Source organism: Homo sapiens, chromosome 6, assembly GCF_000001405.40.
Source record: "Homo sapiens chromosome 6, GRCh38.p14 Primary Assembly".
In the NCBI taxonomy this organism is placed as follows: Eukaryota; Metazoa; Chordata; class Mammalia; order Primates; family Hominidae; genus Homo; species Homo sapiens.
The window spans coordinates 19,044,425-19,067,668 of record NC_000006.12 but is presented as its reverse complement, the minus strand read 5'-3'; the positions used below and the strand labels follow the sequence as shown (position 1 = coordinate 19,067,668).

The following is a 23,244-nucleotide window of genomic DNA, read 5'->3' as shown; positions in this document are numbered from 1 at the left end:
TTCCCACTCTCCAACCTCCCTGCTTGAACGCTCACCAGCTGATCCCAACAAGAAACACAGTCAGTAGGAACAGCTCTGGAGCACAGCTTGAGGTAGAAAATGGAGCAGGGTAGGGACCAAGTGGAAAATAATTGCCATAGCTACTGAGACAGGAGAGAAGAAAATGTGTATATGAGAAAACAGTTTGTTTTGGCTAGAATAAATGATGCATGAGGGCAAAAAGCCAGAGTGTGCTTATAAAAGTAAGTGGTAGCTGAAACTCATCAGAATAATGACAAAATAAAGGGAAACGAAAAGACGTATGAATCTGGTGCTTAACTCATCAGGGATGTTTGGCGCCTTTCCTGGAAATTACAGATAAAAGCAACAGGAGTGGAGAGAAATGACATCAGAACATAAGAGGTACCACAAAATATGAGTTAGTTTTTAGAAATGTGAATGTAGCAGTGGCCAAGAAGAGGCAGTAGAGAGAAAGCAGTACTCTGATTCCTCCATCTCACTCAATGAGGTGAACAGGAAGAATGCCATTTATTTTCTCGGACAAAGGCAGCATAGTCTTTAGACACTTGCTTGGATCAGGAGGGACAGGCTACTTCCATGATTTGGGTCATTGTGAGGGAAGTAGTTAAGAAAAAAAAAAGAAGGACAGGAGATAAGGGAACTATTTGCGGGACTAGTAGAAAGAAGGCAGCAGTGAGAGCAGGGACAGGTGGAACAGAGCTAAAGAGGAAAGAGAGAAGGAAAAGGGATGGCAGGGGATGGTGATTTTTAATGGCAGGATCAGAGAGTCACGTTGTCGGAAAGTTGAACAAATATATATTAGCCCCTGTGGGAATTCTAGAGAGGAAAACCAGCCATGAGACCTTTCTAAGTATATACTCTTAAGAGAAATATTGATGTAGTATTCAACCTCAGAGGTTAAGGAATAGTGGGTTTCAGGAAGGACCTGGAGGGTGGTCAGCTGCACACGTAGAGGTGTGCTGCAGCCAGCTTGTACCAGCTCCTGAGAATCAATTGTGCACATCTCTTTCCAACTCTGGGCTCTGTGGCTTCACATAAACACCAAAATATGTCATGGTAGGTGTAGTTCTACCCATAGAAACTGGCAAATGCTACAGATGAGGGTTCCCTTCTCACAAAGTCAACTATCAACCCCAGAGCCTCTTATTAAACCTTTACCAGCACACCACTGATCTGCTGCAGCTTCAATTTGAGGACAGGTTGTTGCAATGAGCACTGAGGAAGGTGTTGCATGAGAACATGTTCATGAAAGAAGCAGCACCCTCTGCCAAAGATCACCGGGTGAGTGTGTGCTGAGCAGGTGCAGGCATGGTCCTCCTTAAAAGACTGGAATCAGAGGCTGCTCATTGATTAGAACTACATTTTGATCAAGCTGAGAGAATTCCAGGTGATACAACCTGGAATAAGCTAAGCAAATAAAAATAAGTCATCAACAACCTGTCAGGCATGCGGAATTCAGTGAATAGAAAATTAACCCATTCCTCTGAACTAAGCAATGCTTGATTTAGCTTCAGTGAGCCTTACAAGTGGAAGCTGGCACTTTCTTCCTGTTTGTTTGTATCTACTGCAAGAAGTAAAAATACATACCACCTACCTGAAGCCTGTCATGGTACTTGTGTTTCTGTAGGAATATTTTCTACAACATCTTAAGTTACTGCTAGAAATTGCCAGCAATTGTGTCTGTGTTTTCCCATTTTTGAAAGAAATTAATACTCTCAATGCCTTAGAGTTGCTCCTTCCCACCTTCTGATGCCTTGTCCTGGGCTTAGTGGATGTAAATTAACTCTGCTGCTGAATAAAGAAATTTTATTCTAGGAATACAGTGCTGAATACAAAAAGAGAGTCATCAATTTTGTCTTTCTTTTCATTTTCTCTCCTCGACCCTTTAACTATTCTTCTAATTTTTTTCTCTAGCTGATGTGTTTTCCATGTCTGTCACATACACAGGGTTTCTTAGGGACTAGAAATGCATAAGAAGCTTAACAAGGGGTGATTTACCTGCTTAATGTTATTCACATAGCACAGTCATTCATCATCAATTCAATAATGTTTGTTAATCACCTGTGATGTGAGGGACACCGTTCTAGACATATTATATCCCACAGAGCAACATCTCATAAGGTATATGCTAAAACAGAGAGAAGATACAGACTTCAGGCAGGTCCATTCTGCTCTGATTTGGGTTTGAAATCAACAGCTCCATATTTGTTTTCATTTTTAATATAAATTTCATTGTGTGTAGTTAGTATACAACGCGATGTTATGGGATACATATATATAGTAAAAAGACTATTATAGCAAAGCAAAGTAACCTGTTTGTAACTGTATTAGTCTGAATACTCTTGAATATTGACCATGTGAATGTCTTTCACTTAATTATTTTTATTTTCTTAGCCTTACATCTTGGGAAATATTAAGTTCTCAGAGTGGAAGCAGTTCAGATGAGCCATACTGTAGGAAATACACTGAGATTACTATAAAGGATACTTGCAGGAGAGCTCTGTGCATTTCCTCCCTCAGTGTCAGACAAATACACATATCAAGTTGGGGCAGTGATACAATTAAAATGTTAGTTGAAGGATGCCTACAGGGCCCAGGCACAAAAGTGTCAGCTCCTTTGTCAGTCACCTGCCTGACATCCCTACCGTCAGCCTCTCCTTCTTCCTTTTACAACAAAAGCCTTTCTTAAAAATGTAAGTAATATTTACCACTTATAAAATTTTAGTTTCAGCTGTGCAAGGTAGCCCTCACCTGTAATCCCAGCATTTTGGGAGGCTGAGGTGAGAGGGTCGCTTGAGACCATCAGTTTGAGACCAGCCTCGGCAACTTGGTGAAATCCTTTCTCTATGCACATGCACGCGCGCGCACACACACACACACACACACACATTAGCTAGGCATGGTATGAGCACCTGTAGTCCCTGCTACTAGGGAGGCTGAGGTGGAAGAATTGGTTGAGCCCAGGAGTTTAAAGTTGCAGTGAGCCATGATCACACCACTGCACTCCAGCCTGGGCAACAGAGTGAGACCTTGTCTCTAAAAAACAAACAAATCAAAATTTAGTTTCTTAAAGAACATCTTAATAGGGCTCTGAGCCATTTTTCAAGTCACATGTATGTTTTCACAGGAAATAGGGCAGGGGGATAGGAAATAACTGAAGGACAGACTGTATAGAGGAATATCCACAGGGGAAGACAGAAGTTAGCAAAAGAGCATGGTGTGGAGGATGGTCTAACTGAGAAAGAGGGCATTACTAGAATATAAGATCTGCTGCAGTTAGAAGAGACCCAAAATAACATTGTGGCAAATGGAGACAACTTTATCTCTGTTGTTTAATGGCCCAGAGAGACATGGGCAGGGCTAGCATTGTGAATTGGCTCCATGGGGTCATCTGGGGACCCAGGCTCCTTCTACCTTGTTGCTCCACATCCCTGAAGTGTTACTTTCCCTCCAGGTCTCACTACTACAGGCTGAAAATTCCCAAGTTTATTACACCTGTGCTTTCGATCAAGTCTGCTCTGCCAAGCCCCATTGCCACTCTACTTGGTCACATCCCTGGTACAGCCTTCTTGTCACTACTAGATACCCAATAGGTGGCAACACTGGCATTGATGGATCCTACTGGGCTCTGACAGGCTCTAATGCCCACTGACTGTTTGTTTTGCTAAATCTGTAGGGTTATCTGTGGTTAGGTAGGGGAAAATGCTTCTTTCTCTTCTGGTTACACCATGGTCTAGAGTTTCCAAAGTAAGATTGTTTATCCAGTGTTCTGTAAATTTTTCTCAGAAAAAAACTAAATAAAATAATTTCAGCTTTAATGGACAGTCCCTATTCTCCACTGCTCTAATCCAAGAGGAGCTAAGTTGTAAGATACACATGGAAAATAACAATCACGCTGTATTCAGAATCACTTCCCCTAACTTACAACTATATCTCTATTATAGTAAGCTCATTTACTTAGGCTCCCCATTCCCCCAAACAAGATCTCCTGTCCTCATCCTACCCCTCTAAATATCTTCTGTTAGACCTTCCCCACCAGTTCACTGGCATGCTCTGATCACTTATATTTAAAGTGAAGTTCAGCTAGACACAGCATTGGCACAAGGAAATAAGTTGGGGCATAATACTTTGAAAATCGTAACACATGAGAAACAGAACAATGCATCAGTTTGTTCATTGGGAGCCCCTCATAGCATGAGGTATACTATTCAAGACAGTAAAAGTGTCTCAAGTTGTGACATTTGTATTATTCAAAGTAGCCAACTATTGGGTATAGCATCCTGCTTGAGTGTTGGGTCTATTGATTGAAAGTTCTATTATAATTCTAAAGTGGATTTAATCTACCATGTTGTAAATGTCAGTAAATATTAATTTTGAAACAAAAATGTCATTTTTTAACAATACAGCAATAGTACTCCTTAGTATTTACACAAAAGAGTTAAAAACTGCAATAAGATACTGTCTCACACCAGTCGGAATGGTGATTTTTAAAAATTCAGGAAACAACAGATGCTGGCAAGGCTGTCAAGAAATAGGAACGCTTTTACACTGTTGGTAGAAGTGTAAATTAGTTCAACCATTGTGGAAGACAGTGTGGCGATTCCTCAAGGATCTAGAACCAGAAATACCGTTTGACCCAGCAACCCATTACTGGGTACATACCCAAAAGATTATAAATCATTCCACTATAAAAACACATACACACGTATGTTTATTGCAGCACTATTTACAATAGCAAAGACTTAGAACCAACCCAAATGCCCATCAATGACAGACTGGATAAAGAAAATGTGGCAAATATACACCACGGAATACTATGCAGCCATAAAAAAGAATGAGTTCATGTCCTTTGCAGGGACATGGATGAAGCTGGAAGCCATTATTCTCAGCAAACTAACACAGGAACAGAAAACCAAACACCGCATGTTCTCACTCATAAGTGGGAGTTGAACAATGAGAACACGAGGACACAGGGAGGGGAACAACACATACCAGGACCTGTCGGCGGGTAGGGGGCAAGGGGATGGAGAGCATTAGGACAAATACCTAATGCATGCAGGGCTTCAAACCTAGATGACAGGTTGAAAGGTGCAGGAAACCACCATGGCACATGTATACCTATGTAACAAACCGGCACGTTCTTCTGTACATGTATCCCAGAACTTAAAGTAAAACTAAAAAAAAAAACAACTTATGTCCAAACAAAAACTTCCACACGATGTTTTAGTTCCATTCATAATTGCCAAAAAGTAACCAAGATGTCCTTCAGTGGGTGAATGAGTAAATAAACTGTAGTACATGCAGACAACAAAATATTATTCAGTGTTTGAAAAATGAGTTACCAAGGTACAAAAAGACATGCAAGAAACTTAAATGTATATTACTAAGTGAAAGAAGCTAATTGACAAAGACTACATATTGCATGATTCCAACTAGATAACATTCTGAAAAAGGCAAAACTATGGAGACGGTTAAAAGATCAGTGGTTTCCAGGGATTAGAGAGAAGGAAGGGATGAATAGCTGAGCACGGAGGATTTCTAGAGCAGTGAACCTACTGTGTATGATACAACAATGTTAGACACGCCATTACACATTTTTCCATACCCACAGAATGCACAACACAAAAAGTGAACCCTGATGTAAACCAACTATGGACTCTGGATGATTATGATGTGTCAATACAGGTTCATCAATTGAAACAAATGTAGTACTCTGGTGGATATTGATAATGGGGGAGGCTATGCATTTGTGTGGGGAGAGAGTATATGGGAAATCTCTGTACTTTGCACTTAAGTTTGCTGTGAACCCAAAACGAGTCTAAAAAGTCAAGTCTACTTTAAATGAGGGAAAATGTAGTTCATCTGAAACAACTGTTAATATCCTCAGTGCAATCCAGATTCCAACAACACAAATACAGCCCTAAAGTCCATCTGTGGACGTTTCTATTCCCAATTTATAAACACCAATATTTTGTCAATAATAAATTATATGGATGTAGGTAAAAATTTTGTAAAAGTTTCCTGAGTAATTTAGAGAAAACAAGAAAAGCTTCACACCCTTCCTTTTGGGGGATTACAGGAATATATCCCATATGTTCCAAACCTGAGATATTAAATAAAAATAACAATCTGGATGAGAGCCTGCCTCTAGGGAGCACAGGGGAGACTTGATTAAGTGTTGGAACATGCCAATGTATGGCAGCAATATGAAATGCATTATATCATTTTAAACTCTAACTTTTAAGGAGACATTATCATTCTCACTTTATTAAAATTTTGCATGAGGCAAGGTCAGGATTTGATGTTACAAACACATTTTATTTTGTAGTCTCATTCTCCAGGTACTCAAATTCCCTGGTTGTAAAAAGAGACAGCATTTTTATCCAGCTTATTTGTCAGGATTATATGAAAAAAACTGAACTTGGCCAGTGGCCTTGAATAGGAGACAAAACTGTAGAAATAGTCCTATGAACTAGAAGTAGGAGAGACTATAAATGTGGCGAACTGGAGTTGAAGAATCCTCAGAAAGGAAAGCAGCATTACAGAACCAAGAGAAGATAAGAAAGGCAGCTATGGCCGGGCATTCTGGCTCACGCATGTAATGCCAGCACTTCGGGATGCCAAGACATGAAGATTGCTTATGGCCAGGAGTTCAAGACCAGCCTAGGCAATATAGTGAGACCTGTCCCTACTAAAAAAAAAAAAAAAAAAAAGGAAACAAAAGGAAAAAAATGCAGTCATATTCTCAACTGGGAGGAGAAGGTTGAAGTAGGCTAGAGATGGACATATATACATATATTATATATACATCATACACATATACATACACATATATATCTTTATCTCATAAATATATGATAAAGATGAAGTTGGGCCAGAAGTGGAGGCTTCCACCAGTTGTGGGCCAGTGACAGGGGTTGGGGAGTAGTGGTGATTGCAAACCATGAGCAGAAGGAAGGAGGGGGTAGGAATACAAAACAATTTTTTATGTTTATTTTTCACTCCTGAGTCTCAGCTCCAGCTTGAAACTGATCTCACTCTCATCAATTGGTATCTTAATATGGAAAGTGGCATAATTAAAGCAGAAACTCTAACAAGCTTGCTTCTGAGGCTTTGAGCCTAAAATATTGGGGTGACTCTAACATTGGAAACCTGATCACTTGCTCAACACCAAGATCAGGGTCTTTCCAATCAGCCATGTCACTGTCATGGAGTAGGAACATAAAATAGTGATTTTCAATAATTTAGGAAAGTTCAAACTAAACTAACATTAACTTTTCATTGCCTCTCCTTCCCCTCTTCCTCTGGCTGAGTTACACGTTTCTGGTTCCCATCTTTTTGTTCCACTCCATGTATGAGAATTGCCCTAAGTTGCAGTGGTTCTCAAGCCTCACTACATATTAGGCTCACCCAGGCAGGTTTTAGAACTGAAAAGACTGGCCCTACTCCAGAAAAACAGAACCCAAACCTAGGAGATGGGGAAAGCCTGAGCAATGGTATGTTTACAGCACTCCCCAGGTGACTCTAATATGCAGCCAGGGTGCTAAGCATCTTTCTATCTGAACCGTTCAAGGGAAAACAAAGGGCAGGATATTATTTATTTAATTCTTGACCAGGTTTCCAATTCTTATATATGAGCTAGGGTCTTTGTTGTGAGACAATTTGTCTGTCAATAAAATTACCTTTCAAATGTTTTGAAGACTGGGATTTCTTGTTCTTAGCACAAAGAACAGCATATGCCATTATCAAAGTACCAACAGGAATCTGGATTTAAACCAATCTGGCATTTTTCCTTTATATCTTTTTTTTTGTCAATTCATTATCATATTCTCTAAGAGAAACAGCAAGAAGTGAGCATTTCCTCAGGGTAATCACTTGAATATGAGTGCCAATAATTTCATTCTACAAAAACCAGATACTCAACTAGATATTGCTAAGAAGAAAAATAAAATATATTAAATTCATAAGGACAACTTCCAAATACTGAACCTTTAACATTATCTCCGATTATAGGTTGTTGTCATATCTAGGGTGTAACCAGCAATGTCAAAAAGCTATAGAATCCTGGAAAGTGCTCCAGCACTAGAAAATGACAAAATGAAAAACTTACAAAGAAATTCCTGTTCCTAGAAATACAATACCTTGTTAAAAATAAAAATCATTAATTTTTGGAGGGGAGGTGTGTTCCAGGACTCTGTCTTATGACTAAAGTACTTGTTAATTGGATAAAAGTAAAAAGAATATTAAATCTCAGTATTTGATGGCAGAAGCCAAGGATGTTTCCCTAGATACAGTCTCCGTTTCTCTTCCCCCTGGGCATCCTGCCATAGGGATTGCTGAGGATGTACATTTGTGATGATATGCACATCTGGTAAAATGACATACGTGTGACCTTCAGTATTTTCAACGTGCGTGCAGCTTGTAGATTGCCTTTGGTGTTGACTTTCCTTCATCTAGCATTTGCAAGAAATTTCCATAGTTTCTAGGTCACTTCATGGAGCTTTTCACAATCTCTAATTTTAATTTTTAGACAGATATACAAATGTATTCATCATAGAAAAAAGTCCAGAAATCTCACCTGCTATAGAAAGATTTAAGAAAATTAAATTTAAATGTACTCAACTTGTTCATAAGACTCCAGCAGTTATTCCCCACTGATAACTTTTGTCTACTTGCCTGGGTTCACTGTCCCTGAGAACTATATCCCCACCTAGTTTCACATGTAAGGAGCTTGGAAGTTACCACTCTGTCCTAATAACATGGAGAAAGCAGAACAAACTGAAAATATCAACAACGCTTCTTGAATCTGTAAGAGAGGTGAGACACAGGGCGAAGCATTGCCCCCAAGATTGGAGAGATAGGTGAATGCAGGAAGTCACAGCTTACTGGAGCAGAGACTCACAAGCAGAAACCTCTGCAGGAATCAGTACCAGGGAAGGAAAAATCTGAACTGTAATTGACAAATTGCTAGAGGCCCCGTGCAGGCAACTCTAAGACTTAAAAACTCTAGAAAGCACCCAGTCATAGGGGGACCCTCCCAATTTTGTGAGATTTACCTCCAGGATCTTGTCCAGGTTCCCGCAGTAAACAGGGGAGAAAACAAATCCCTTCGGGCTTTTCTCAAAGGTAGGGGTATTTATGTAAGCATATTACTTTAAAATTACCTTTTTCTCTCTCATCTACATATTTTGTTTCAATTTTATTTATTTCCCTCTCAATATATAGAGAGAGATTGCATAAATAATCTATAGGGAATATTAGTGATAGAGATTTCTATTTAATTTATTGCTTTAAATAAAATCATGTCAAATTAAAATTACTAGATGCAATTTTAATATTTTCTTTCCAACTCTTAGGTTCAGGGTACTTGTGCATGTTTTAATTTTTTAATTTTTGTGGATTCATAGTAGGTGTACATATTTATAGGTTATGTGAGATATTTTGATACAGGCATGCAGTGCATGATAACACTAGGATAAATGGGGTATCCATCACCTCAAGCATTCATCCTTTGTGTTATAAACAATCTAACTATACACTTTGTTATTTTTAAATGTACAATTATTTTTTACTATAATCACCTTGTTGTGCTAGCAAATATTAGATCTTATTCATTCTTTATAATTTTTTTTTGCACTCATTAACCATCTGCACTTCCCTCCCACCACACCCCCACTACTCTTCCCAGACTCTGGTAACCGTCCTTCTACTCTTTATCTCCATGAGTTCAATTATTTTAATTTTTAGCTCCCATAAATAAGTGAGAATGTGTGAAGTATGTCTTTCTATGCCTGGCTTATTTCCCTTAACATAATGACCTCCAATTTCATCCATGTTTTTGCAAATGGTGGGATCTTCTTTTTTTATGGCTGAATAGTACTATATTGGGTATATGTACCACATTTCCTTTATTCATCTGTTGAAGGACACTTAGGTTGCTTTTAAATCTCATTAAATAGGTAAATTATGTGTTGCAGGAAATTGGTGCACAGATTATTTTGCCACCCAGGTAATAAGCATAAGACCTGATAGGTAGTTTTTTGACCCTCACCATCCTCCCACCCTCTACCCCCGAGTAGGCCCTAGTGTTTATTGTTCTCTTCTTTGTGTCCACGTGTATTCAATTTTTTGCTCCCATTTATAAGTGAGAATATGCAGTATTTGGTTTTCTGATGCTCTGTTAGCTCACATGGGATAATGGCCTCCACCTCCATCCATGATACTGCAAAGGGCATGATTTGAGGTGTTTTTTTATGTCTACATAGTATTCCATGTTATAAATGTACCATATTTTCATTATCCAGTCCACCATTGATGGGCGTTTAGGTTGATTCCATGTCTTTGATATTGTGAATAGTGCTACAATGAACATACACATGCATGTGACCTATCACAGAACAATTTATATTCCTTGGGGTATATACTGACTAATGGGATTGCTGGGTCAAATAGTAGTTCTATTTTAAGTCCTTTGAGACATCTCCAAACTGTTTTCCACAGTGGCTGAACTAATTTACATTTCTACTAGCAGTGTATAAGCATTCCTTTTTCTCTGCAACCTCACCAATATCTGTTATTTTTTGACTTTTTAATAATAGCCATTCGTACTGGTGTGAGATGGTATCTTACTGTGGTTTTGATTTGTATTTCTCTGATTATTAGTAATGATGAACTTGTTTTCATATATTTGTCTGCCACTTACATGTCTTCTTTTGAGACGTGTCTGTTCATATCCTTTGACCATTTTTTAATGGGGTTGGTTTTTGCTTGCTGATTGGTTAAGTTCTTTATAGAAGCTGGATATTAGACCTTTGTCAGATATATGGTTTGTAGATATTTTTTCGGATTCTGAGGTTGTCTGTTTACTCTGTTGATGGTTTCTTCCGCTGTACAGAAGCTCTTTAATTAGCTCCCACTTGTCAATATCTGTTGTGTTGCAACTATTTGGAGGGACTTAGTCAAAATTTCTTTGCTAGGGCTGATGCCGAGAAAGGTATTTCCTAGGTTTTCTTTTAAGCTTTTTATAGTTTGAGGTCTTACATTTACATCTTTAATCTATCTTAAGTTATTCTTTGTATATGGTGAAAAGTAAGGGTTTAATTTCATTCTTCTGCATATGGCTAGCTAGTTATCCCAGTACCATTTATTGAATAGGTAGTCCTTTCCCCATTGCTTGTTTTTGTTAGCCCTGTTGAAGATCAGATGGTTGTAGATGTGTGGCTTTATTTCTGAGATTTCTGTTCTGTTCCATTGGTCTATGCATCTGTTTTTGTACCAGTATCAGGCTGTTTTGGTTGACGTATCTTTATAGTGTCATGGAGTATAGCAGGCATGGCTGAGGAAGCCTTAGGAAACTTACAATTATGGAGGAAGGTGAAGGGGAAGCAAGCACATCTTCACAAGCTGGCAGGAGAAAGAGGAGAGAGTGAAGAAGGAAGTGCTATACGCTTTCAAGCAACCGGATCTTGTAAGAACTCACTCTCATGACAACAGCAAGGGGTAAATCCACTCCCATGATCCCATCACCTCCCACCAGGTCCCTCCTCCAACATTGGGGATTACAATTCAACATGAGACTTAGATGGCAACAAAGAGCCAAACCTTATCAGGTAGTGTGATGCCTCTGGCTTTGTTCTTTTTGCTTAGGATTGCCTTGGCTAGTTGGGCTCTTTTTGGTTCCATATAAATTTAAAAATACTTTTTTATAATTCTGTTAATAATTATTTTGGCAGTTTGATAGGAATAGTGTTGAGCCTCTAAATAGTTTTGGGCTCTATGGCCATTTTAATAATATTGACTCTCCTACTCCATGAGCATGGGGTGTTTTCTGATTTATTTGTGTCATCTTTGATTTCTCTGAACAGTGTTTTATAGTTCTCATTGTAGAAATTTTTCACCTCATTGGTTAGATGTATTTCTAGCTATTTCATTTTCTTTGTGGCTATTGTAAACGGGATTGTGTTCTTCATTTGACTCTTAGCCTTGATGTTACTGGCGTACAGAAATGCCACCAATTTCTGCATATAGGTTTTGCATTCTAAAACCTTGCTAAAATCTTTTATTAGTTCTAGTAGCCTTTTGGCAGAGTCTTTAGGGTTGCCTAAGTATAGAATCATGTGATCGGCCAAAAGAGATAATTTGACTTTTACTTTTCTATTTGGATGCCTTTTATTTCTTTCTCCTGCCTGATTGCTCTGGTTAGGACTTCCAGTAATATGTTGAATAGGAGTGGTGAAAGTGAGCATCCTTGCCTTGTTCCAGTTTTCAAGGGGAATACTTCCAACTTTTGCCCATTCAGTATGATGTTGGCTGTGGGTTTGTCATAGATGGCTCTTATTATTTTGAGGTATGCTCCTTCGATAGCTAGTCTGTGGAGGGTTTTTATCATGAAGGAAGGATTTTGGATATTATTAATCATTTTTTCTGCATCTGTTGAGATGATCATATGATATTTAATGCTGTTTATGTGGTGCATCACATTAATTTGTGTATGTTGAACCAACCTTGTATCCCATGAATAAAGCCTAGTTGATCATGTTGAATTAACTTTTTGATGGGCTGCTAGATGCAGTTTGCTAATGTTTTTTGAGGATTTTTTCATCTGTATTCATCAGGAATATTGGCATGAATTTTTCTTTCTTCATTGTGTCTCTGTCAGATTTAGGTATTAGGCTGATGCTGGTTTCATAGAATAAGTTAGGGAGGAATCCCTCCTCTTTGATTTTTTGGAATAGTTTCAGTAGGATTGGCACCAGTTCTTTGTACATCTGGTAGAATTCAGCTGTGCATCCATCTGGTCTAGGACTTATTTTGTTTGTAGGTTGTTTATTACTGCTTCAATTATAGAGCTCGATATTGGTCTATTCAGGATTTCAATCTCTTCCTGATTCAATCTTAAGAGATTGTGTGTTTCCAGGAATTTGTCCATTTCCTCTAGATTTTCTAAATTGTGTGTATAAATTTGTTTATAGTATTCTCTAAAGAGCTTTTTTATTTCTGTGGGATAGCTTTTAATATCATCATTGTAATTTCTGATTGTACTTATTTGGATCTTCTCTTTTTTCTTTGCTAGTCTAACTAGCACTCTATCAATCTTGTTAATTTTTTAAATAATCCACTTTTGGTTTCACTGATCTTTTGTATGGATTTTTACATCTAAATTTTCATAAATTTTTCTCTAATTTTAGTTATTTATCTTCTACTAGGTTTGGGGTTTGTTTGTTCCTTTTATTTCTAGTTCTTTTAAGTGCAAAGTTAGATTGTCAATTTGAGGTATTTCTAACTTCCTGATGAAGGCATTTATGGCTATAAACTTTCCTCTTAACACTGCTATAGCTGCATCCCAGAGATTTTGGTAAGTTCTGTCCCTATTTTTGTCAATTTCAAATAATTTTTTTATTTCCATCTTAATTTCAATGTTCTCTCAAGAATTATTTAGGAACAAGTTGTTTAATTTCCATATGTTTGTATAGTTTTGAAAGGTCTTTTTGATATTTACTTCTATTTTTATTGCACTATGGTCCAAAAATGTGCTTAGTATGTTTTCCCTATTTTTTCCCTATTTTTTTGTTGTTGAGTGTTGCCTTATCACTGAGTATCTGATCAATCTTAGAATATGTTCCATGTGCAGATGAGAAAGATCTATTCTATAGTTGTTGGGTGGAATGTTCTGTAGATGTCTCTTATGTCCAGTTGGTCAAGTGTTGAGTTTAAGTCCAGAGTTTCTTTGTTAGTTTTCTGCCTTGGTGATCTATCTAATGCTGTCAGTGGGGAGTTAAAATCTTCACTATTATTGTGTGGTTGCCTACGTTTTTCCATAGGGAAAGAAGAACTTGTTTTTTAAATGTAGGTGCTCCAATGTTGGGGGCATATATATTTAGGATAATTCAGTCTTCTTGTCAGATTGCAACCTTTATCGTTATGTAATGCCCTTCATTGTCCTTCATTTTTATTGATTTAAAATCTGTTTCATCTGATGTAAGAATTGTGACTCTTGCTCTTTTTTGTTTTTCATTGCATGGTAGATTTTTTTTTTGGCCATCTTTTACTTTGAGGCTGTTGGTGTTGTTACATGTGAGATTGGTCTCTTGAAGACAACAGATGATTTGGTCTGATGTTTTTATCCAGTCTGTCTTTTACGTGGGGCATTTAGCCCATTGACATTCAAGGTTAGTATAGATATGTGTGAATTTGATCCTTTCATCCTGTTGTTAGCTGTTTTTTACATAGACTTGATTGTATCCTTGCTTTATATTTATGCCTGTGAGCTATGTACCTAAGTATGTTTTTGTGGTGGCCAATAATGGTCTTTTGTTTCCCTGTTTAGCACTCCCTTAAGGACCTCTTGTAAGACTGGTCTAGTTGAAAGGTATCAACTTAGCATTTGCTTGTCTGGAAAAGGACTTTACTTCTTCACTTATGAAACTTAGTTTGGCAGAATATAAAAATTCTTGGTTGAAATTTCTTTCCTTTAAGGATGTTAAAAATAGTACACCATTCTCTTCTGGCTTGAAAGGCTTCTACTGAGAGGTCTGCTGCTACCTTGAAGGGGTTCCCTCTTTATGTAAATTGGCCCTTCTCTCTAGATGCATTTAAGATTTTTTCTTTTACATTGACCTCTGTGAATCAGACTATGTGCCTTAGAGATAGATAGTCATCTTACACAGTATCTAGCTGGGGTTCTCTGTATCTCTTAGATTTGCATGTATAATCTCTCTAGTGAGATTAAGAAAATTTTTGTGGACTATGTCCTTGATATAGTTTGGATATTTATCCCTGCCCAAATCTCATGTTGAAATGTAATCCTCAATGTTGGTGGTAGGGCCAGGCAGGAAGGTGATTGGATCATGGGGGTGGATTTCTCATGAATGGTTTAGCACCTTCTCCTTGGTGCTGTCTTTGTAATAGTGAGTGAGTTCTTGCAAGATCTGGTTGTTTAAAAGTGTGTGGCACCTCCTCCTCTCTCTCTTGCTCCTGCTCCCCAGTGTGAGATGTCTGCTCCCCCTATACCTTTCACCATAATTGGGAGCTTCCTGAGGTCTCCCCAGAAGCAGATACCTGTGTTATGCTTTGTGTACAACCTGCACAACTGTGAGCCAATTAAACATCTTTTCTTTATAAATTACCCAGTCTCAGGTATTTCTTTATAGCAAAGCAAGAATGACCTAATTACAGTCCTCAAATATAGTTTCTAAGTTGCATATTCTCTCTCCTTCTGTCTTAGGAATGCCAGTGAGTCATAGATTTGGTATCTTTACATAATCCCGTATTTCTCAGAGGTTTTGCTCATTTTTAAAAATTCTTTTTTCTTTCCTGTCTGAGTTGATTTGAAGAACCAGTCTTCAAACTCTTGAGATTCTTTCCTCAGCTTTATCTATTCTAATATTAATATTTCTGATTGTATTATGAAATGCTTATAGTGAGTTTTTCAGCTCTAGAAGTTTAGTTTGGTTCTTTCTTTAAATGGCTATTTAATCTCTCAGCTCTTGGATTATTTTACTGGACTCTGGATTTGGTTTTAACTTTATCCTCAATCTTGATGAATTTCCTTGCCATCCAAATCCTGGATGCTGTCTGCCACTTCAGTTACTTTAAAGTGGTTAATAACCTTTGTTGGGGAATTAATGGATTCATTTGGAGGTAAGGGGACACTCTAGTTTTTTGAATTACCAGAGTTCTTGCACTGATTCTCATCTGGGTGGTTGGTGTTCCTTTTTTTTTTTTTCTTATTCTTTTTATTTATTTATTTATTTATTTTACTATTATACTTTAAGTTTTAGGGTACATGTGCACATTGTGCAGGTTAGTTACATACGTATACATGTGCCATGCTGGTGTGCTGCACCCACTAACTCGTCATCTAGCATTAGTGTTCCTTTAACTCTGGTGTAAGTTAGGTATAAGCAGTTGGCTTTGTTTCTGTTGTTTTCATAGGGCAAGGGCTCTGTACAGGACCTTTATGTGTGGATGAATTCTTGCATTTGGGTTCACAGGTATACATATTAGCGGCAATCTTTATGGTATTGTCTTTTGGGCTGCAATCCAGTAGATGTCACTTAAGAGTAATGGTCGGTAGCTAGGTTAATACCCACGCTCACAGCTCTTTTGTATTTTCTGACATTCAAAGTGTGCTCTGTGGTTGAGGTGGGGCATAGCCTCCTCACCAGGTTCATTCCTGGGACTTGGGGGAGCCATTCTGATCACTGGCAATGCATCCACATTGCTTTTGTTAGATGTTCTGGGCTGTGGGGCTCTCTCAGGCAGAGGCTGCAGCAGGGAGATAAGCCACACCATTTCTAGACTGGCCTTGTAGAGGAAGGCATGCCCCACTCCTGCCCTGGCCCAGGAACCCATGCATCTTGCCCTTCTCAATGCTCTGAGGGTCGGGGTTCTCCCCTGCAATATCTCCATATTCCCCAGCTGAACACCACAGCTCTTGGGACACCAGAACATCCCACAGCTTGGGGTCGGGTTCCAGCTGCACAGGGGGATCTTATGTGCTCCCAGGTCACCAGGAAAGTACTCAGGTACAGAAATGCACTCAGTATGGCATGCAAGGACAGCACTGTGCACCTGCTCCTGCAGTTGACTAGCCCTGGGAAGGGCTGGTGGGCAGGGGAGCTTGCATCTTCCCATTGGAACAGATGCATCCTAGGTCCAATGGGGAGCTAGCCCTGCTGCCTCCTGGCTTAGAGGTCAGTTGAGACTTACAGCTCCTGGAAAGGGATGCGGAGCCCTGGGGGATGGGCGTCCATGGCCACTCTCTGGCGAAGCTGCCCAGCTCACAAAAGCTTCCCAGCTCTATGTCATCTGAAGGCCTGTCTCTGTTTCTGTGGAGAGGCAGATCCCTATGCCTGCTCACATAATCACAGGGGATGCAGTCACCCGTAGCTAGGATCTAAGAGGTCCACAGTGAGAGTGAGCCATCCTTCAGTTCCCTCACTAATCCTTTTCCCATGAACCATTCAGGGCCAGAAACTACTCCTAGTACTCCTAGTACCCCACTCAAGGGTCTAAACTTCCTTCCTCTTTAGCTTAAGCTTCAATATTGTTTCTACATCCACTCTTGGCATTTTCTATCTGAAGATACACCCAAGTTATGGTGGTTTACTCAATAATTTGGTCTCCTTGGTGGGAGTAGCACTTCCTGGTTGTATCTAGTAGGCCATCTTGTCCCACCTCCCTAGGCACATTATTTTCAAACTACAGAAAACCGAAGATGAAGGAAAAGCCCTGAAAACGTCAGGATAAAAACACTTTACCTTTAGAGGAGCAAGGAAAATAATTATATATGACTTTTCCTCAGAAATAATACATGTAAGAAGAGAGTGGAAGAGATTTTTAAAGTGTTGAGAAAAAAAATGCCACTGACCTAGAATTCTGCACTCTGCAAAATTATCCTCCCAAACTGAAGATGTAGTAAGACTTTCTCAGAAAAACAAAAATTGAGGAATTTGTTGCCAGTAGAACTGCCATGTAAGAAATGTTAAAAGAAGTTCCTTAGAGAGAAGGAAAATACTATAGTTCAGAACTCATGTTTACATAAAGAAGAGTATTAAAAAAAGAATAAGTGAAGATAAAATAGAAATTTTTGTTTTTCTTATTCTTAATTGATTAGACAACAGTTTGTTCAAAATTCATAATAACAGCAATGTATTTGATTATTGTCCTTGTCCATTTTCTGCAGCTATAACAGAATATCAAAGACTAGGTAATGTGTAATGAACAGAAATTTATTTCTCACAGTTCTGGATGCTGAGAAGTCTAAGACCAAGGCACCAGCATCTGGCAAGGCCCTTTCTTCCTGACTTCTAGAGGGGAGGAACACTGTGTCCTCACATGATATAAGGTGGAAGGGCAAGAGAGGAAGTATACTCCCTCTTCCACCTTGAGCCTTTTTATGAGTCCTAATCTCATCTATGGGAGCTCTGACTTTATTACTTAATTACCTCTTAAAGACCCCACCTTTTGATCCTATTACATTGCAGATTAGGTGATTAGGTTTCAAGCTATGAATTTTGGAGAGGATGTAAAAATCCAAACCATAATAATTATGTGTGCTTATTTATATATAATATATAGTTGTAAGCATACACTACAAACTCTAGGGCAACCACTAAAAATAAAAATAGAAGTATAACTGATATGCTAAGAAAGGAGATAAAATGGCATCATGTAAAATGCTCGATTAAAACCACATATAGCAGAAAAAAGGACAAAAATAAGAACAAGAAAAAGAACTAGAGAACTGTTCCAAGTAAATCTTAATCTAAATATCTAAATATCAATAATCACTTTGAATGTCAATGGTCTAAATGATCTACTTAAAGAAAAAAGATTGTCAGAATGAATTAAAAACAAGACCCAACCATATGTTGTCTACAAGATACCCACTTTAAATATAAAGACACACATAGATTAAAAGTAAATGGATGGAGAAAGATATACCATGCTACACACACACACACACACACACACACACACACACACACACACACACACACACCAGAACAGACTTCAAAGCAAGGAGAGTTATCAGAGATAAAAAGAAGCGTTACATTACAATAAAGCAGTCAATGCTACAAGAAGACATAACAATTCTTAATGTGACAACAGACAGTCGAACTGAGTGAAGCAAAATCTCATACAGCTGCAAGAAGGAAAAGGTGAACTCATTATTATAGTTGGAGACATCAACACCCCCATCAGAAATAGAGAAATCCAGCAGGCAGAAAGGCAGCAAGGATATATTTGAATTCAACAATACCATCAATCAGCTGGATATAATCAACTTCATGCAACAATAGCAGAAAACACATTTTTCTGAAGCTCACATAGAGCATTTACCAAGGTAGACCACATTGTGGGCCATAAAACATACCTTAACACATATTAAAAAATAAAAATCATGTAAGTTCTGCTCTCAGACCAAAATACACTTAAACTAGAGATTACTGAAAAAATAAATGAAAAATCCCAAATACATGAAGATTAAACAACATACTTCTAAATAACACATGAATTAAATAAGAAATCTCAAGACACATTTAAAAATACTTTGAACTAAATGAAAATGGAAAACACAGATTGAAATTTGTGGGATGTACGAAAGCAAAGCTTACAGGGAAATTTATAGCATTGAATGCATACATTAGAAAAGAAGAAAAATCTAAAATCAACAATACAAGTTTCTACCTTAGCAAACTAGAAAAGGAAAAGCAAATGAAATCCAAAGTAACAAGAAGGAAAGCAGTAATAAAAATTAAAGCAGAAATCAGTGAAATAAAAAACCTGAAATCAGTAGGGTAAAGCAATAAAACCCAAAGCTGTTTCTTTGAAAAGATCAATAAAATTAATAAGCCTCTTCCATGCCTAATATGCAAAAAGAGAAAGGATATAAATTACATCAGAAATGAAACAGAGAACAATACTACAGATCCTGTAAATATTAAATGGATAATAAAGGAATAGTATAAATACCTCTATGCTCTCAAGTTTGGTAATCTAAATGAAGTGAATCAATTCCCTGAAAGATACAATTTGCCAAAAATTCCACAAGAAGTAATAGACAATCTGAATTATCATCTATTAAAAATTTGAGTTTCAAATTTTAAAATTTCTAAAACACAAAGCATCAGGCCCAGATGTAGTCACTGGTAAATTCTACCACATGTTTAAGGGAGAAATTATTTCAGTTCTCTACAATCTCCTTCAGGGGATAGCAGCAGAGGCGATACTTCCTAACTCATTCTATGAGGCAAGAGTAACCCTAATACTAAAACCAGGAAAAAGTGTTAAAAGTAAGGAAAACTACAAACCAATATCTCTCATGAAGATAGATGTAAAAATTCTCAAAAAAAAAAAAAAACCCAGCAAATCAAATCCAACAATGTATAAAAAGAAGTATACACCATCAGCAAGTGAGATGTATCCCAGGTATTCAAGACTGGATAAACATTTAAAAATCAATCAATGTAATCTATCACATTAACATTATAAAAAAGAAAAATCACATGATCATATCCATAGATGCAGAAAAAAAGAATTTTAAAAAATCCAATACTCATTCATGATAAAAATTCTGGAATGTCTTTAACTTGATAAATTTTTTTAAAAATCTACAAAAACCTATAGCTAACATCTTAATGATGAGAAGCCTGAAGCTTTTCCAATGATTTAAAAATTAGGAGGAAGGCAAGGATGTCTTCTCTCACTACTACTTTTGAGCATCATATTGGAAGTACTAGCTAATGCAATAACACAAGAAAAGGAAGTAAAAAATATACAGACAGGAAAGGAAAATAAAACTGTTTTGTTTGCAGATGACATAATCATTTATGAAGAAAATCTTTAAAAATTGATGAAACAAAAACACTATTACACAATTATGGCAAAGTTGTAGGATATAAGATTCATATACAAAAGTCAATTGCTTTCCTATATACCAGCAATGAACAAGTGAAATTCTAGATCCAAAACACTATGCCATTTACATTAGCATCCCCCAAAATAAAATAGTTAATTATAAATCTAATAATATATGTATAAGATCTATATGCAAAAAACAATGAAATTGTGATCAATGAAATCAAGAAAGAACTAAATAAATGGAGAGCTATTCCATGTTCATAGTTAGGAAGACTCAGTATTTTCAAGATGTCAGTTACTCCCAAATTGATATATAGATTCAATGCAGGCTGGGCACGGTGGCTCACGCCTGTAATCCCAGCACTTTGGGAGGCTGGGGCAGGCGGATTATGAGGTCATGAGATCAATACCATCCTGGCTAACACAGTGAAACCCCGTCTCTACTAAAAAATACAAAAAAAAAAAAAAAAATAGCCAGGCATGGTGGTGGGTGCCTGTAGTCCCAGCTACTCAGGAGGCTGAGGTAGGGGAATGGCGTGAACCAGGGAGGCGGAGCTTGCAGTGAGCTCAAATAGTGCCACTGCACTCCAGCCTGGGTGACAGAGCAAGACTCCATCTCAAAAAAAAAAGAAGAAAAAAATAGAAAAAATAGATTCAATGCAATCCTAACAAAAATCCCAATAAGTTATTGTGTAGATATCAACAAAATGATTCTAATGTTTTTATGGAGAGGCAAAAACCCATAATTCCTGATGCAAAATTGAAGAAGAACAAAGTTTGAGAACTGACACTACATGACTTCAGGACTTACCATGAATCTATAGAAACCAAGATAATGTCATATTAGTTAAAGAATAAAGAAATAGATCAAAAGAAGAGAACTGAGATCCCAGAAATAGACCCACATCAAGATAGGCAACCAATAGTCTTTCAGTGAATGGTGCTAGAACTGGAGAGCCACATGCAAAACAGTGAGCTAGACAAAGACCACACACACTTTACAAAAATTAACTCAAAATGCATCATAGACCTCAGTGAAAAAAAGAAAAACTATAAAACTCCTAGAAGATAGCATCAAAGAAAATATAAAAAACTTTGGGTATGGTAATGACTTTTTGAATAAAACACCAGTCACAAATAATGAGATAAAAATTGAGAAGCTACACTTAAAAAACCCCCAGAAACTTCTGGTTTGTTAAATACAATGACAAGAGAATAAGAAGACAAGCCACAGACTGGGAGAAAATATTTGCAAAAAGACACAAATCATAAAGGACTATTACATAGTCCTATTAGTACTACTATATAGGTCTTTATCACATGAGTCTTTTTGCAAATACTTTTATATCAAAATAATATATTAATATATAAAATAATATATATCAAATATATCAAATAATATATCAAAATACAACTATATTTTGATACAATATATCAAAATACAACTATATTTTGATACAATATATCAAAATACAACTATATTTTGATACAATATATCAAAATACAACTATATTTTGATACAATATATCAAAATACAACTATTTTGATATATCTATTAAAAATTTGAGTTTCTAATTTAAAAATTTTTAAAACACAAAGCATCAGCCCCAAAATACAACTATTTTGATATATTATTTATATATATCAAATATATTAGAAACTTAAAAACTCAACAATAAGAAAATAACCTGATTTAAACAATAAACCAAAGACTGCAACACGCATCTGAAAGAAGATATACAGGTGACAAATCAGCATATGAAAATATGTTCCACTTCCTATGTCATCAGGAAAATACAAATTAAAACAATAATGAGATAGCAATACACACGCATTAGAATGGCCAAAATCTGTAACACAGACAAAACCAAATGCTGACAAGAATGTGGAACAACAGGTACTGTCAATCATTGCTGGTGGGAATACAAAATAGTACTGCAGCTTTGGAAAACAGAAGTTTCTTACCAAACTAAACATATTCTTACCATATGATCTAGCAATTACTCTCCATGGTATTTACTCAAAGGAGATGAAAACTTATGCCCACACATAAACTTGTGGACTAAACTGTTACTCAGGTGTTTACAGCAGTTTTATTCATGATTACCAAAACTTGGAAGTGACCAAAATGTCCTTTAGTAGGTGAATAGATAAACTGTGGTACATCCAGACCATGGAATATTATTCAGTGTTAAAAGGAAATTAGTTATCAAGCCATGAAAAGACATAGAGGAAACTTAAATGCATATAATTAAGTGAAAGAAGACAATATGAAAAGGATACATACTTATTATTCCAATTATATGACATTCTGGAAAAGGCAAAGCTATGGGGACAGTAAAAAGATGAGTGGTTGCCAGGGGTTGGGGAGGGGGGCATGAATAGACAGAGCACACAGTATTTTTAGGGGAGTGAAACTATTCTATATGATACTATAATGGTGGATATATGTCATTATATGTTTTGTCAAACCCATAGATTATACTATGGTAAACTATGGACTCTGGGTGATAATGATGTGTCAATGGAGGATTATTAATGCTAACTAATGTACCACTCAGAAGGGGGATGTTGATAATAAGGCAGACTATGCATGTGAAGGGGCAAGGGTCATATGGAAAATCTCTGTACATTTCTCCTAATTTTGCTGTGAGCTTTAAATATTCTAAAAACATAGTCTTTAAATAAATGAAAAATAAAGGAACAAAAGAAAAAGGGAGGGAGGGAGGGAGGGAGGGACTGTGTCCTCTTTTATCATAAAAAGTGTAGGGCAAGTAGATGCTTCTATAGCAGAGAAGGACTTTGGGCTCATGAATTACATGCTCCATTATGGTTGGCTCAGTAAAGATCCTTTGC

General features: G+C 37.2%; 1 long non-coding RNA gene across 1 annotated transcript in view; it reads right to left on the bottom strand.

Annotated features, from left to right (window-relative positions):
* The window catches only part of LOC105374958 (uncharacterized), a 119,161-nt gene that overhangs the window by 28,605 nt on the left and 67,312 nt on the right, over positions 1 to 23,244 (bottom strand). The gene's annotated exons all lie outside the window — the stretch shown is intronic.